Below are 12,900 nucleotides of genomic sequence, written 5' to 3' on the forward strand. Positions count from 1 at the left end.
AAGCCAGAGATGCACGGCCTAAAGCAGAGACTCTGGCAGATACAGCCAGCGAAGCTGGAGGGAGTTCCTTGAGTGTCACTCCTGACGAAATAAAAGTTCATTGTGTATTTATTCTCTGCCCCTTTCATCTTATCTCAAATCCACAGAGCGCTAAGTTTTAGTCAAGGAAGAATGAAATAAAAGTAATAGAAGGAGAAGACTTGATCAGAATCTTCAGTGTTCAGAGGAGGATGGAATATTCTTTTTCAAACTTGGCAGAAATTCTCATCAGTGCTTCTACTGATACTAGTTTTAGCAATTCTGAGGCTTGTTCAAAGTGATGGCCAAGATGTATCCACACCTCCCACGGTTCGTGTGTAAAACCTTCAAAGTTGCAAACATTGGAATATTCAGTGTTTTGCATCAGTGCCTTAAATCTTCATGGATTTCGGCACTGAAAAGTGAAAACTGGTCCACGTGTACGCATCTTTCCGGGCACCTGTAGTTGGAATAAGGCAGACACACAGAGATGACAGATCTAATGGATCATCCTTCTTTTGCTGTCTCCTCAGAGTAAAGGAAGTGCGTATGTCTTCTCACAGCCAATCAACTCTCCAAGTCTATTCTACCCCACAGTCCCTTCCATGGCCGGTAAACACTACAGGTGGTAATATCAGACATCTGTTTTATTCTTTCTGCTCTTTATGTTGTGAAAGGACTCCTAAATCATAAAATCATAAAATTTAAGAAGCGTAACTTAAAAATCCATCAGATTAATCCCATTATTGTGGAAATAAGGAAGCTTCAGAGTCCCACAGTTAATGGCACAGATCACACGTCCTAACTCTCATCTGGTGGCACTCTTTAGTCAGTGTCCCATCACAGCCTGCAAGAAAACCCTGCTGCAGGCCACGTGATGTCATTGCTGCAGCCCTAAGGGCCCTTTGACATGGGCGTAAACAAGCTGAGAATTCAAAGAAAGGTGAAGCTAAACAGGGAAATACTGTTAGAAATATTAGAATAGGCAAAGTGATTTTCACTCTTTAAAGTTTGTGTTCCAGGACAATGAATTGTTGGTCTATCACCCTCTCAAAAATGCAAGAGATGATAATGCTTTGTATTATCCCCAGAAAGATGACTATGGTCAGTATATTATTAGGTTAAAAAAAATAGGTTACAGGCCAGGTGCAGTGGGTCATGCCTATAATCCCAGCACTTTGGGAGGCCAAGGCAGGCGGATCACTTGAGGTCAGGAGTTCAAGAGCAGCTTGGCCAACATGGTGAAACCCCATCTCTACAAAAACTACAAAAATTAGCTGGGTGTGGTGGCAGGCGCCTGTTATCCCAGCTACTTGGGAGGCTGAGGCAGGAGAATCGCTTGAACCCAGGAGGTGGAGGTTGCAGTGAGCCGAGATCACGCCACTGCACTCCAGCTTGGGTGACAGAGTGAGACTTTGTCTCAAAAAAAAAAAAAAAAAAAAAAGTTATAGGCTGAGTGCGGTGGTCACGCCTGGGAGGCCGAGGTGGGAGGATCACTTGAGATCAGGAGTTTGAGACCAGCCTGGACAACATAGCGAGACGTTGTCTTGAACAAAAAAAAATGTTTTAAATTAGCTGGGTATGATGGCACGTGCCTGTAGCCCTAGTTACTCAGGAGGCTGAGGTGGGAGGATCACTTGAGCCTGGGAGGTCAAAACTGCAGTAAGCCATGACTGCACCACTGCACTTCAGCCTGGGCAACAGAGTGAGACCCTGTCTCAAAAAAAAAAAAGTTACAAAATTGTATGGAAACAATTATCTAAGCTATTTTAAGTGTGTGTTTAAATACACATCCAAAAGCCTGGAGGACTATATTTTAGGCAGCTAACAATTTATCTCTGGGAGTAAAATCACAGGGACATTCAATTTTGGTTTATTGTTTAAAGAACAATATTTGGTTTTTAATATTTTACAGACATCGTTATTCATTTAAAAGTCAATAAAGATATTTCCGAGAGAGGAATAGACTACCTGGCTGAAGACAGTGAACCTAGCAATGCTAGTGTTAGATATCAGTAATGACGGCAGGATACAGTTACAGTACTAAACCCTTTAAACAAGTGGTCTACTGGCTATTCAAAACTAGTTAGCATTTATTGGCAGTTACTGAGTGACCACGTTACCGAAACAGCCTGGCACAACAGTAAGTTCAGTAAATGGTAGATATTACCATTCATTCATTCATTCATTCATGCATTCATTTTGTTAACAGCTTATTGTGTGTGAAAGATTTGGTCCCAGTGGCCAAGGAGCACACTCTGGAAGGAGAAAGAAGACAGAAATTGTTGTGACATGGTGTGCCAACCCAGCTACTGGAGGATTATACACAGAGCCAGGGGTGTCCTTAGCTGATCTGGTGAAAGAAAAGTTGGTGATCTGGATTTAGGGCTAAGCCCACAATCTGTCACAAATTTTGCATAGAATATTAATTCTGGAACGAATGAGTCCAGTTCCTCTTTGAAAACACTTCTACAGAAGTTCCTGTGTAGATGAGCGTTAAAATAAGTGACTCAGGGCCTCCAGTAGTTTATGAGCTAAGAGGATCACAGGATAGGATAGGGACCGGGTTCCTCAGATGTTGCTAGATCAAATGCTTTACTCTTCTCACCCTAAGGGCTCCTGAATTTAGCTTTTTATTACACAGAACCCAGTAAACTAATTAATGGAAATCTAAAAATTATCCTTCCTCTTCTTAGAAAAGAAATATACTGCATGATGATTTGTGCTTTTCGATTTAATGTCACACAATCGTTTTTACACTGTATGTGCTTTCCCTCCCCACAGCCCCAGTCCCAGCCCCAGTCTCGCAGTTCCATTCCTTCAGGGCAGCTTCCATTCTACCGTGAGTTTTTATTGCTTTCCCCTAAAACGCTGCCCTGGAGTCGCGTTTATTGGACACTCTTTAGTCTGTAAAGGAAAAAAACACAAACACCGGAGGAGAATCATCCTAACAAGCCGACAACATATCTATGGGCCTAAAAAACTTAAATTCTTTCCCGTTATTAGCACTTCTCGATCGTTCCAGGAAAGCCCGATTTGTAGCTTGGCTGCCCCAGGAAGGGGCCTGCGACCAGAAAGATGCAAAGGGCGGGACAAGGTTACGAGTGGGTGCGGGGAAGCCTCCCTAACCTGGGGGCCGCGTCCCAGAGCTGCGAGCCACGCCTCCTCTCTCCCGCCCGCCGCGCCGCCGGACTCTTATTTTGAAGGGCGGCGGGTGAAGGCTCGGAGCCTCCTGAGTCACCCGGCGGGCGAGGTATAAAGCCCGATACCTGCCCCGCGCCCGGTCCGCGGAGCCCGCTGCAGCTCCCGCTCGCTCCGGACGCGGAATCGGGCAGCAGCGGGAGGCGGCCCGGAGAGCCGAGGTAGGCGCGGGGAATCGGCCCTGAGGCTGGTGGAAGAAATGTGTGAATTAAAGGGAGTGCAGCGTGCAGGGTGGGCCGCGAGTCGGGAGTGCAGGGCTCGGGACAGGGTGGGGGCGGGGAGGACAAGAGACTCGTCAGCGCACTTTCCACCCGGCCGGTTCCTTCCCGAGCCCTCTCCCTCCCCCGGCCCGCGGGAGCACAGATCCCTGAAAGCGGAGCTCCAGATAGGAATGTCTGCATCATCTTGGCAGGGCCCAGACGGGAGAAGATGCTCTGCTGCCACGGACGATCCCTCCCGCTCTCCTAACTCTTCTCTGAACACCTCGCACCCCCACGGCCCCCCGCCCCTCTCTTAATCTTGGCCACGCTCCCTGAGGGGTCAGACCTGGGGTGGGAGAGCAGAGAAAGCGGGGCTGGCAGAGACAGGGGTGAGGGCCGGGAGAGGCGATGACATCATTCCCTGGCAGCTGGCGGGGAGAGGGTGGGGACGGAGGGGTCCCCCCGACCTGAGCCGAGCCCTCCCTTCCCAAGCCCATCCTCCTTTCTTTGGGATGGTTCACCCCACCTGGGCGCCATTCAAAGGAAGTTTGCGCGTAACTCGGGGCGTCCTTTCCCCGGCCGGGTGCTGTGCCCGGCCCGCAGTCGGTGTTTCTTCTGGGCCTGGGGGCGGCGTGGAGCCGGCGGCTCAGTCCCCTCAGTCCCAGGCCTTGGCAGCCGCTTTGTTCACGCCGGGCGCGGGCCGAACCCGAACCTCAGCTGCAGCACTGGCAGCGCGCACCGGCCACGCGTGGGTTCCCGGCCACGGCCGGGCCAACAAGGGAGGGTCCCGTGAGCAGCCAGGCTGGCCCTCCCCGGGCCTGGGTGAGCTCCCAAAGCTGGAGCGCAGGGCTCTAGGCCGGCCCCGCCCCGGGGCTGGGGGCTTCCCGCCCGTTTGTCTCATTTTAACTTTTGGGGGCAGCTCTGTCCCGAATGGTGAGTGGTCCAGACTCTAGAAAGGGGTTTGGTCGCTTGAGCCCGGATTGAGGCTTGGGACCTTTGCTCTCTTGCTGGGGACGGAAGGGGGCGCGCTGGGCAGGAGAGGGGGCGTCTCGGTCGGGTCTCCCTGGGCTCGGGCATCTTCCCACCCTGCGGAGCCGGGTCTTGCGCTGCGTGCCCCGAACAGGCCCGGGCACACCGAGTCCCGTTACTGGTCTTCAGGCGAAATTCCAGGACGGGTGTGCATTCATCAACCTGGGAGTCTCTAGGAGCCAGAGATGACTGGCTCTACATTTTAATGCGTAATCACAGAGAAACTAGCACGAGAAAAGGACAGAGGGACCGACCCAAGCTTCAGAGACATGGAATAATATGATCCTGGTTCATAAGCCTTGAAAAGCTCCCCTCCGCCAGGTTAAGGAATGGTGTCACCAGCCTTGGCTGTGAGGATAATTTCTTGATTTGTGTTATGCAGGCTCCTGTCAGGACTGTCTCCTTAACTCCCACTACCTAAGGAAAAGATAGCCAGAGAATTGTCCAGGGATTTGGGTTTGGGTTGCTTCTAGAAAGACAGCATCTTTCTTGCTATTTTTTTTTTCACATCCCCCCAAAACAATTTTTTTCCCCCTTCAGACTTGGCAGACTTTGATTTAGATAAGAGGTTTGAGTTAATTTGATTTTCCCCATGTCTGTTTAGATCAATGGATATAGGAGATAGTTTGAAGCTAATGTACCCCTATGCCTTTGTGTGAGTGTAAGATTTATAACTTGAGGGAGGCAGTTAATAAATAGCACATCCTTGAACCATAAACATACGAGATAGACAAGAGCTAGATAATAAACAGTTTTTCCCCCAATCCCTAAGCTTTACTTATTTTTTTTACTGATTCTTGTACTTTGTCATTAGAAAAAGGAGTGGGGTTGGTTTCCCAGTGACCGCATTCATTAAGAAACTGGGCATGTACAGCAAGTAGCAAAATATGCCAACATCCACACCATCTCTGGCTATGTGAAAACTTGGTGCCCTGTGTGAGGAGCATGGGGGATGGTTGGAAATAATGCAGCTTTATTTTTATTGTGATTGTTGGAATTCATGAATCATAAAATTCTGATAGCTGGGATGGTGTGGTAGCTCACCTGCTTTAAATAATGTAATAACGACAGGCCCAGTCTGTCCCAGGTGAGGACCACTGACTTAGTAAACAATAAACAGGTGTCCTACTCATAGTAGCCTTAGTGTTGCTTCAGTAGATCCTTATGAGCTCTAGATAGTTTTTAGTTGACTTTTAATATTTTTAAAGGTAACAATAGGCCGGGCATAGAGACTCACACCTGTAATCCTAGCACTTTGGGAGGCCGAGGCGGGCAGATCACGAGGTCAGGAGTTCGAGACCAGCCTGACCAACGTGGTGAAACCCGGTCTCTACTAAAAATACAAAAATTAGCCAGGTGTGGTGGTGTGTGCCTATAACCCCAGCTACTCAGGAGGCTGAGGCAGGAGAATCACTTGAACCCAGCAGGTGGAAGTTGCAGTGAGCCAAGATTACACCACTGCACTCCAGCCTGGGTGTCAGAGCGAGACTCCATCTAAAAATAAAAAAAAAATTAAATGTCACCACCTTGCATTGTACTTGATCTTCAGAATTTTACTCTATTGTCTTAAGCCTTTAAAACTTTGCTCATGAACTATATTATTTGGACTACCTTTGAGGGTAGTTGCATTTTTGCATTTTTGCAAAATATTATTTTCCCTAGGTTACAGTAAACCTTTGACTCTGTTATATTTGAAGCAACTAATTATTCCTGAAACATATAAAGCATTTCCTGGCAATGTTGGTGGAGTTCATACTGCTCAAGGTGCTGAAGTCATTATTTCAAGGGGAAATTATTAGCGTGTTCCAACAGTTCTTAATTGTCCAAACAATTGTTGATTTCCCCCCTTTCCAGATTTCTTTCACAATCATTGGGAACTATAAAAAGGTGTATTCGACATTTTCTTTTGTGTATATTTTCCACTTCAACAATTTTGTATCAAAACGTATGGCACTTTTTCAGCACTTATTTCAAGAGATCCGGATAAACTCTGAGTAATCACAATTCACTATACTTCAAAAATTGCCTCCCATTCAGTATTTTACAAATAATCTTCTACAAGTAAATGGGGAAAATAGACACTAACCATATACTTTTTAAAAATAATACATTAAAAGAGCACTAAAGCGTTCTTTGAAAGTGCTCCTGGTACTATATACGTATTGGCTCATTCTAGCAATGTTCTTTTGAGACACCATACAAGAAATGGAACTCGACCAGATTTGAGAAAAAGCTGCAGAGAAGGTGAGGATTTGTTCCAGGGCCATACAGAGAGGAAATTGAGACACTCATTTCTTCTTAGTTCAGTCTCCCAGGTGTTTAGCCCTAGATCTCTTTGAGATTGCACGAATTTAAGGGATTTTTTTTAAAAAACAGGGAAGCTCTGTTATCAAATTTTAAGAGAGGATAAAGAATTAGAGATGGTAGATGAGAAATGTTTCATCCAAAGAGTTTTTTGTTTGTTTTGTTGTTTTTTTGAGACATAGTCTCGCTCTGTCACCCAGGCTGGAGTGCAGTGGCATGATCTGGGCTCACTGCAGCCTCTGCCTCCCAGGTTCAAGCGATTCTCGTGCCTCAGCCTCCTGAGTAGCTTGGATTATAGGCGTGAGCCACTGTGCCTGGCTCAAAGAGTTTTAATGAATAGAAAACAGTGACCCATTCTTGTAGAAAAGACATGGAGATAAAATGAAATAAGGAGAGCCTGAGGTGTCAGGGAAGGAGAAAGAGCATTTTGAAACTGGTGGCAGGTACAATTCTCTGCCTAACTCCGTGGACTACTTAGGGCACAGATTTCTTCCTGCTCAGTCAGTGTTAGCTGCCTTCCTGGTTATGTGCTTTAGGGTTGACCGTAATTGGTAACATAAGCCATTCCAGTTAGGTGAGCCTCTCTTCCTTGTGTATTTTGGATAATGACTACGAGGAAACAAGATGGAAATGTGGGATGGTTAGCTAATGTCAGTGCCGAGTCTCCCTGCTCAATGCGCGTTAGCCCAACTGCCAAAGCTCTGCCACTATGGTAAGTGAAGATGGTGATTTTCAGTTTGGCAGAGACTGTTGGAAGGCGTAATGGCTTATTTGATGGAAAAGATTTCCTGCTGCGGGAGAAGCTGCCATTTGCAGACAAGGTGTGTCAGCCAGAAGAAATGAGCAATAACCGTTTTCTGGTTTCTACTGGCAAAAGCTTTGTATTTTTTTCATATAGAAGTGTTAAAAATAGATTCATAAGAAAATGCATGAAACCAAGTAAAAAGTACAGACACTGAAATTTCACCAATGAATGGGAGAGAAGAGAGCTAACCTTTGTTGAATAGTTATTGCTAACCAGGTGCTTCAGTTCTCACAAAATTGTGTGAGGTAGGCCCGCCACATTAGAGAACGGGGATCAGGCAAACAGAGATGAAGTACTGCTGGAGCGCCACGCAGGAGACTCTTAAGCTTGGCGTTGACGTCTATGACATTCGGATGCCTTTGTGAGGCTGTCAAACCTACTGCGAAGTAGGCGGCCCTCAGCTTTCAGATGGGTTGTGTTCTGATTGTGGGTTTGTAAAACTCATTGCTGGGAACCCTGAACACACTTTTTCACTGAAACTATGTCATATTTAGTGGTTTCCCAGGCCAGCCCAGAAATCATAGCTGAAGTATTCTGTCTTATTAATAGTACCATAGAACCAAACCACTATATATAACATGGTTTTTGTGGGAAAATGCACTCAGAGCTCCAACTTGAGTTTTTTAAGGTTTTTAATTCCAGTTACAATGGCAAAAGGGACTCCACCTTCTCTCTTTTTCCATTTAAGCCCTGGAGGGAAAATAAAGGTACACAGAGATACATTTCCTTTCACGTTTCCTCATGCTAACAGAGACCCCACCCTGGACTGCAGAGCGATGGGGAGGGGGGATCCTGGCAGTAGCTGGCTTTGTGACAACAGAGGAAAGAGAAGAGGGGGAAGAGAGCACAGGTAGCGGAAGAAGTGAGGTCTAGATGTCATCACCTATGGGACCAATTTTGGATGGCTTATCAATATGAGCTGCAGGCTGACTGACATCGTTTCCTTACTAAACATCATTTTTACTGAGAACTTAGTAACCTAGACCTAGACATTAATGTTACTTAGTTGTATGTTCAGTATTTTTTAAGTGAAGGTTAGTTTTTAAATAGTCTTCAGTAGTAGAAGGAAAGCACATATGTAGACATCTTATTTTTCTTTTTCATGCCAGTCTACTGAATGTCCAAACCAGCACCTATCGGTAGCTGAATACACTCAAGGTAAACCTGGATGCTAATGGATATGATTCGAATTAATCATAGAATATATACCGTTCGTTGAGTACTTCAAACCAGAAAATGTGCTAAAATGTTGAACACATTTTATGTCATTTAATCCTCACCACAATCCCACGTAGTGAGTACTATCAGCACTCCCATCTTAAAAATGATGAAAGTGAGATTTTAAGAGGGTAAGTAATTTGTCAAGATCACACAGATCAGAAATGGCAAGTCTGGGACCTCATTAATTCAACAAATATTTTTGGAGCAAGTCCTGTGGCCCAGGCTCTGTGTTAGACTCTGGGAGTAAAGCAGTGAATGAAATGGACAAATATGCCGAAATCCTTGCCCTCGTGGAGCTTATATGCCAGTGGAAAGAGATGAACAGTAAGCAAAACAAACTAAACAGCTAGTGCCTCAGATACAGTTATGTGCTATGTGGTAAAATAGATCTAGGGAGCATGAGGAATGCCAGGTTGGGGTTGCAGTTCAGGCAAGTAGAGAATACAGGCTGAAGGACAGCTGTGAGATAACAAAATCAGTCCAGGAGTACATACGCTATTGTTTCTCGCAGCAACCCATTTTATGTCGTAACACCAAATGTTGAGTACATGTCACCCTCATCAGTCACTGCTTCTACTGCAGCAAGTGACTGGGGAGGTATCCAAGAATGACTGGTGAAGGGCTTGGCCTTTTCTATCCCAAGGTCAGGAAAGATGAGGACAGTTGCTGGAGGGATGTCCTAGAGCGGCTGGGGTTTTGTGCACAAGCAGAGGGCTTGACCTCAGCCAAGAGCACAGAGCTGATTCTCCTGTAGCCCCAGAAAACAGGCGGAATCTGGGGGCACAGATGAGGGCTGGGTGGAAGGAGCAATGGAAGCTCGTGGAAGTTCTGTGTTGCTTCTGTTTTCTTAGTGGAATGGGGAGTGTGGTCATCAGTGGGGAGCGAGGGTCGGGGAGGGAGTGCGGGGCCGGGGGTGCAGTTTGAGGAGAGAGATGTGAAACAGTCACCTGGCAGAAAGGGAGCCTGAATTTAGCTGGTGAAATGTACACTCAGGATCTGCCCATGGTCAAATTCTGACTCTTAACATCCTTCCACAGTATATTGGAGATCAGAATTCTCTAGTTCACTTCTTGAGGAGAGAGATTATCTTCTAACTCCTTTTTTTTTTTTTTTTTTTTTTTTTTGCTGTGTCATTTACTTGGAGCAGAGTCCTGCACTTACTATGTGTATGGTTAATGCTTGTTGAGTGACTGCTACAGGAAACCTACACACTTGTCCAGAAATTTCATTTAAGCTTTTCGTCCTAATTGTCACATTGTTCTCTCCCTTTTCTGAAATGCTGTGATGTTCCTAGTTCCCAAAACAGTACTTGTATAGCAATTACTGTTAATTATTTCATTGAGTTAATCTCATTCCCATAACGGATTAAGTTTTAGACTAAGAAATAATTTTTTTTGTTTGAGACATGAACTCACTACCTTCACCCAGGCTGGAGTGCAGTGGCATGATCATGGCTCGATGCAGCCCTGACATCCTGGGCTCAAGTGATCCTCCCACCTCAGTCTCCCAAATAGCTGGGACTACAGGCATGCGCCACCACGCCCAGCTAATTTTTTGTATTTTTAATAGAGATGAGGTCTTGCCATGTTGCTCAGGCTGGTCTTGAACTCTTGAGCTCAAGTGATCTGACCTCTCAGCCTCCCAAAGTGGTGGCATTACAGGTGTGAGCCACCGCGACTGGCTAAAAATTCTTAATTGTATACTCTTTTGTAGTATTCTCTTGGGACCACCTAAGTCAAGCCTCATTCCCACCAGATGGTGCCCCTGTTGGGGGCAGTGAAGAAGCCTTCTATGTCTGTTTCATGACTCCTTCTTGGCTGGCACACTGTTGTGGGCGCTCTGTAGGTAGTCAATGGGAAACGGGAAAGCTACTTGCGGTTAGAATAATACGAGAACTAGATATTGGTAATCTCAGCTGAGCGAATGGCAAAGGAACTGATGAAGCAGGTGGATTCCAAGGCTAGTTAGGAGAAGGAATTGACTACAAGTGGTGTTGGTGGGATGGGAGGGGTGAGGGAGGGGGGATGGGAGGGGTAAGGGACGGGGGTGCATCAGAGGTTACTCCCAGGGCTCTGCCAGACCCTGGGTAGATGGAGCCGCCGTTTTACAGAGGTAAGGACAAGAGTTTAGTTTTGAACATTCCAAGTGGAGATGTCCAGGACACAATTATATACCTAGGCTGCCATTCTGGGAGGAGATCTGAGTGGGAGACCATGATTTGGGAATTATCACCACAGATGGTAATTTAAGCCTTGGGAGAGGATGAGTTTGCCCCCAAAGAGAGCATAAAGTAAGAAAATTGGGCTCTCCGTGTTTCAAGGTTGACTAAAGATCCTGTCATTTGACTAGGCTCTGCTATAGTCTGCAAAATCTGCCCAGGGACAGAATATTGAAGTAAATAAAGTGTATTCCAGTGAAACCTCAAATAGATTGATTCAAAACTGGAGTTAGAAAAACTTGTGGTTTTTCTTGGTAAAGCTTCATTTTCTATTTGTCTTCATAACTATAAATGGATGTATTTGTGTGGAAGATGTAGATTTTTTTTAAAAAAAATCTATTTTTGGCTCTATTAAGAGACAAAATGAATCCAAATGTATTCCATACTTCTCTCACATTGCACCATTTTGTTATGTAACAGAGAACGTTTGAGTACATACTGTCCACACCAGCAACTATAAATCTGTCCTGGCAAGTGACTGTAAGATACCCAGGAACAAGAGATAAGGAGCTCGCCTCTCCAGGGAGAAGCTTTTATTTGCAAGAGAGAGAGTGATATACAAGAACTTGCAAATGTCTTTGAAGGGCAGAAAAAATCAGCTAGGGCTAATAAGGCAGCTGTCCAAGTTCATGATTCCTTGGCCCTTCTTTATACACAACCACCAAGAGTTGTCAGTTTGCAAACCTAGAAAAGTATACCATTGTAATATCAGTTCATCTCCCGCTTTTCCAGAGCTACTCAGAAGCGTGGTGGATGCTTAGTGAAACGACCAGAGGTGTGAAGCTGCCAGACCTTTACCCAGATCAACTTCTTTGACTCAGGGTACAAATGAACAACGTAGTCTGACAGCTCACCTAAAAGTTATTTGGAATGATTTTATATTGAGAGATTTTTTTAAAGCCTAAATTTAGATTCATCAGAGCATATCAAGGTTGAGATATGTGAAAGGCAGTGCTATATGGGAGGGTCAAGTTCCATTCGTTTAAAAATACCAGGACATTTGCTGCTGTTTAGTAGGGGAGTTGGGTAGGGTAGATATCCTCACCTCCACTATACAGATTTATTTATTTATTTATTTTTTGAGACCAAGTTTCGCTCTGTTGCCCAGGCTGGAGTGCATTGGTGTAATCTCGGCTCACTGCAACCTCTGCCTCCCAGGGTCAAGCAATTCTTCTGCCTCAGCCTCCTGAGTAGCTGGGATTACAGGTGCGTGCCACCACGCCTGGCTACTTTTTGTATTTTTAGTAGAGATGGAGTTTTACCATGTTGGTCAGGCTGGTCTCAAACTCCTGACCTCGTGATCCTCCTGCCTCGGTCTCCCAAAGTGCTGAGATTACAGGTGTGAGCCTCTGCGCCCGGCCCACTATATAAATGTTTAAGAATTAACATGTATAAAGGTTGGGACTTTCCCAAGGTGAGCTGTTGGACCTGGATCTCCTGAGGCCAACTGTGTTTTTCTTCTCAGCACAGCAAGCATCCTTTGAGATGCAGAGTGATCTTACCACTTGAAAATGTGCATCAAGGGCAACTGCAGAATTTTCCAAAAGCTTAAGCACAGATGGCAAATCTGGCAAAGTCAAATTGAGAACACTGACTACATGTTCAGGAGGAAAGTTTTTAAGGGTAAATGCTTAAAAATCCTGAAGACCAGTTTATTTGGGAAAGCAATTCCAATGGAAAAGTGCGGTTGGCTTACTGAGGGAACCACACAGTGGCAGTTTCTACAACTTGGCCAGCTGCCCTGGGCTGGCAGTTGAGGAGAAAATGCAGCAGTGGGGTTGAGTAGACACCTCAGCCACGGAGTGACAGTCATTGTGTTCTAGGTACCACCTGACCGCTCTCTGTCTGCTCCTTCTGTGGCTCTATAATATCTGAGCTCCTGGGTAAGCTCCATGCAGCCTCTA

At 45.6% G+C, this 12,900-nt stretch overlaps 1 protein-coding gene and 1 long non-coding RNA gene across 28 annotated transcripts in view, besides 2 other annotated features; one reads left to right on the top strand and one right to left on the bottom strand.

Moving 5' to 3' along the window:
• Window positions 1-12,900, top strand: part of PALLD (palladin, cytoskeletal associated protein) — a 431,390-nt gene that overhangs the window by 331,740 nt on the left and 86,750 nt on the right. For 10 of the 27 annotated variants that reach the window (XM_024453940.2, NM_001166110.2, XM_047449867.1 and 7 more), the window contains exon 1: window positions 3,304-3,380. The exons of the other annotated variants lie outside the window; for them this stretch is intronic. The gene's annotated coding sequence lies outside the window, so the exon portion shown is untranslated. Of the gene's footprint in view, window positions 1-3,303; window positions 3,381-12,900 lie in introns of those variants that run through there. 27 annotated transcript variants of the gene reach the window in all.
• On the bottom strand, window positions 2,735-9,788 carry LOC124900809 (uncharacterized). The gene is made up of 2 exons (XR_007058361.1): window positions 3,946-9,788; window positions 2,735-2,925 (listed from the first exon to the last, which is right to left on the bottom strand). It is a non-coding gene; the product is annotated as an uncharacterized LOC124900809 (long non-coding RNA).
• Window positions 2,892-3,752: an enhancer, noted in NCBI's record as "H3K27ac hESC enhancer chr4:169752834-169753694 (GRCh37/hg19 assembly coordinates)". NCBI's record gives its function as "activates a minimal SCP1, AML or CMV promoter by ChIP-STARR-seq in naive H9 embryonic stem cells {active_cell/tissue: H9 hESC(naive)}" and the evidence as "EXISTENCE:reporter gene assay evidence [ECO:0000049][PMID:30033119]".
• Window positions 12,200-12,714: an enhancer, noted in NCBI's record as "OCT4-NANOG-H3K27ac hESC enhancer chr4:169762142-169762656 (GRCh37/hg19 assembly coordinates)". NCBI's record gives its function as "activates a minimal SCP1, AML or CMV promoter by ChIP-STARR-seq in naive and primed H9 embryonic stem cells {active_cell/tissue: H9 hESC(naive and primed)}" and the evidence as "EXISTENCE:reporter gene assay evidence [ECO:0000049][PMID:30033119]".

This window comes from Homo sapiens, chromosome 4 (assembly GCF_000001405.40).
Source record: "Homo sapiens chromosome 4, GRCh38.p14 Primary Assembly".
NCBI classification, from domain to species: domain Eukaryota; kingdom Metazoa; phylum Chordata; class Mammalia; order Primates; family Hominidae; genus Homo; species Homo sapiens.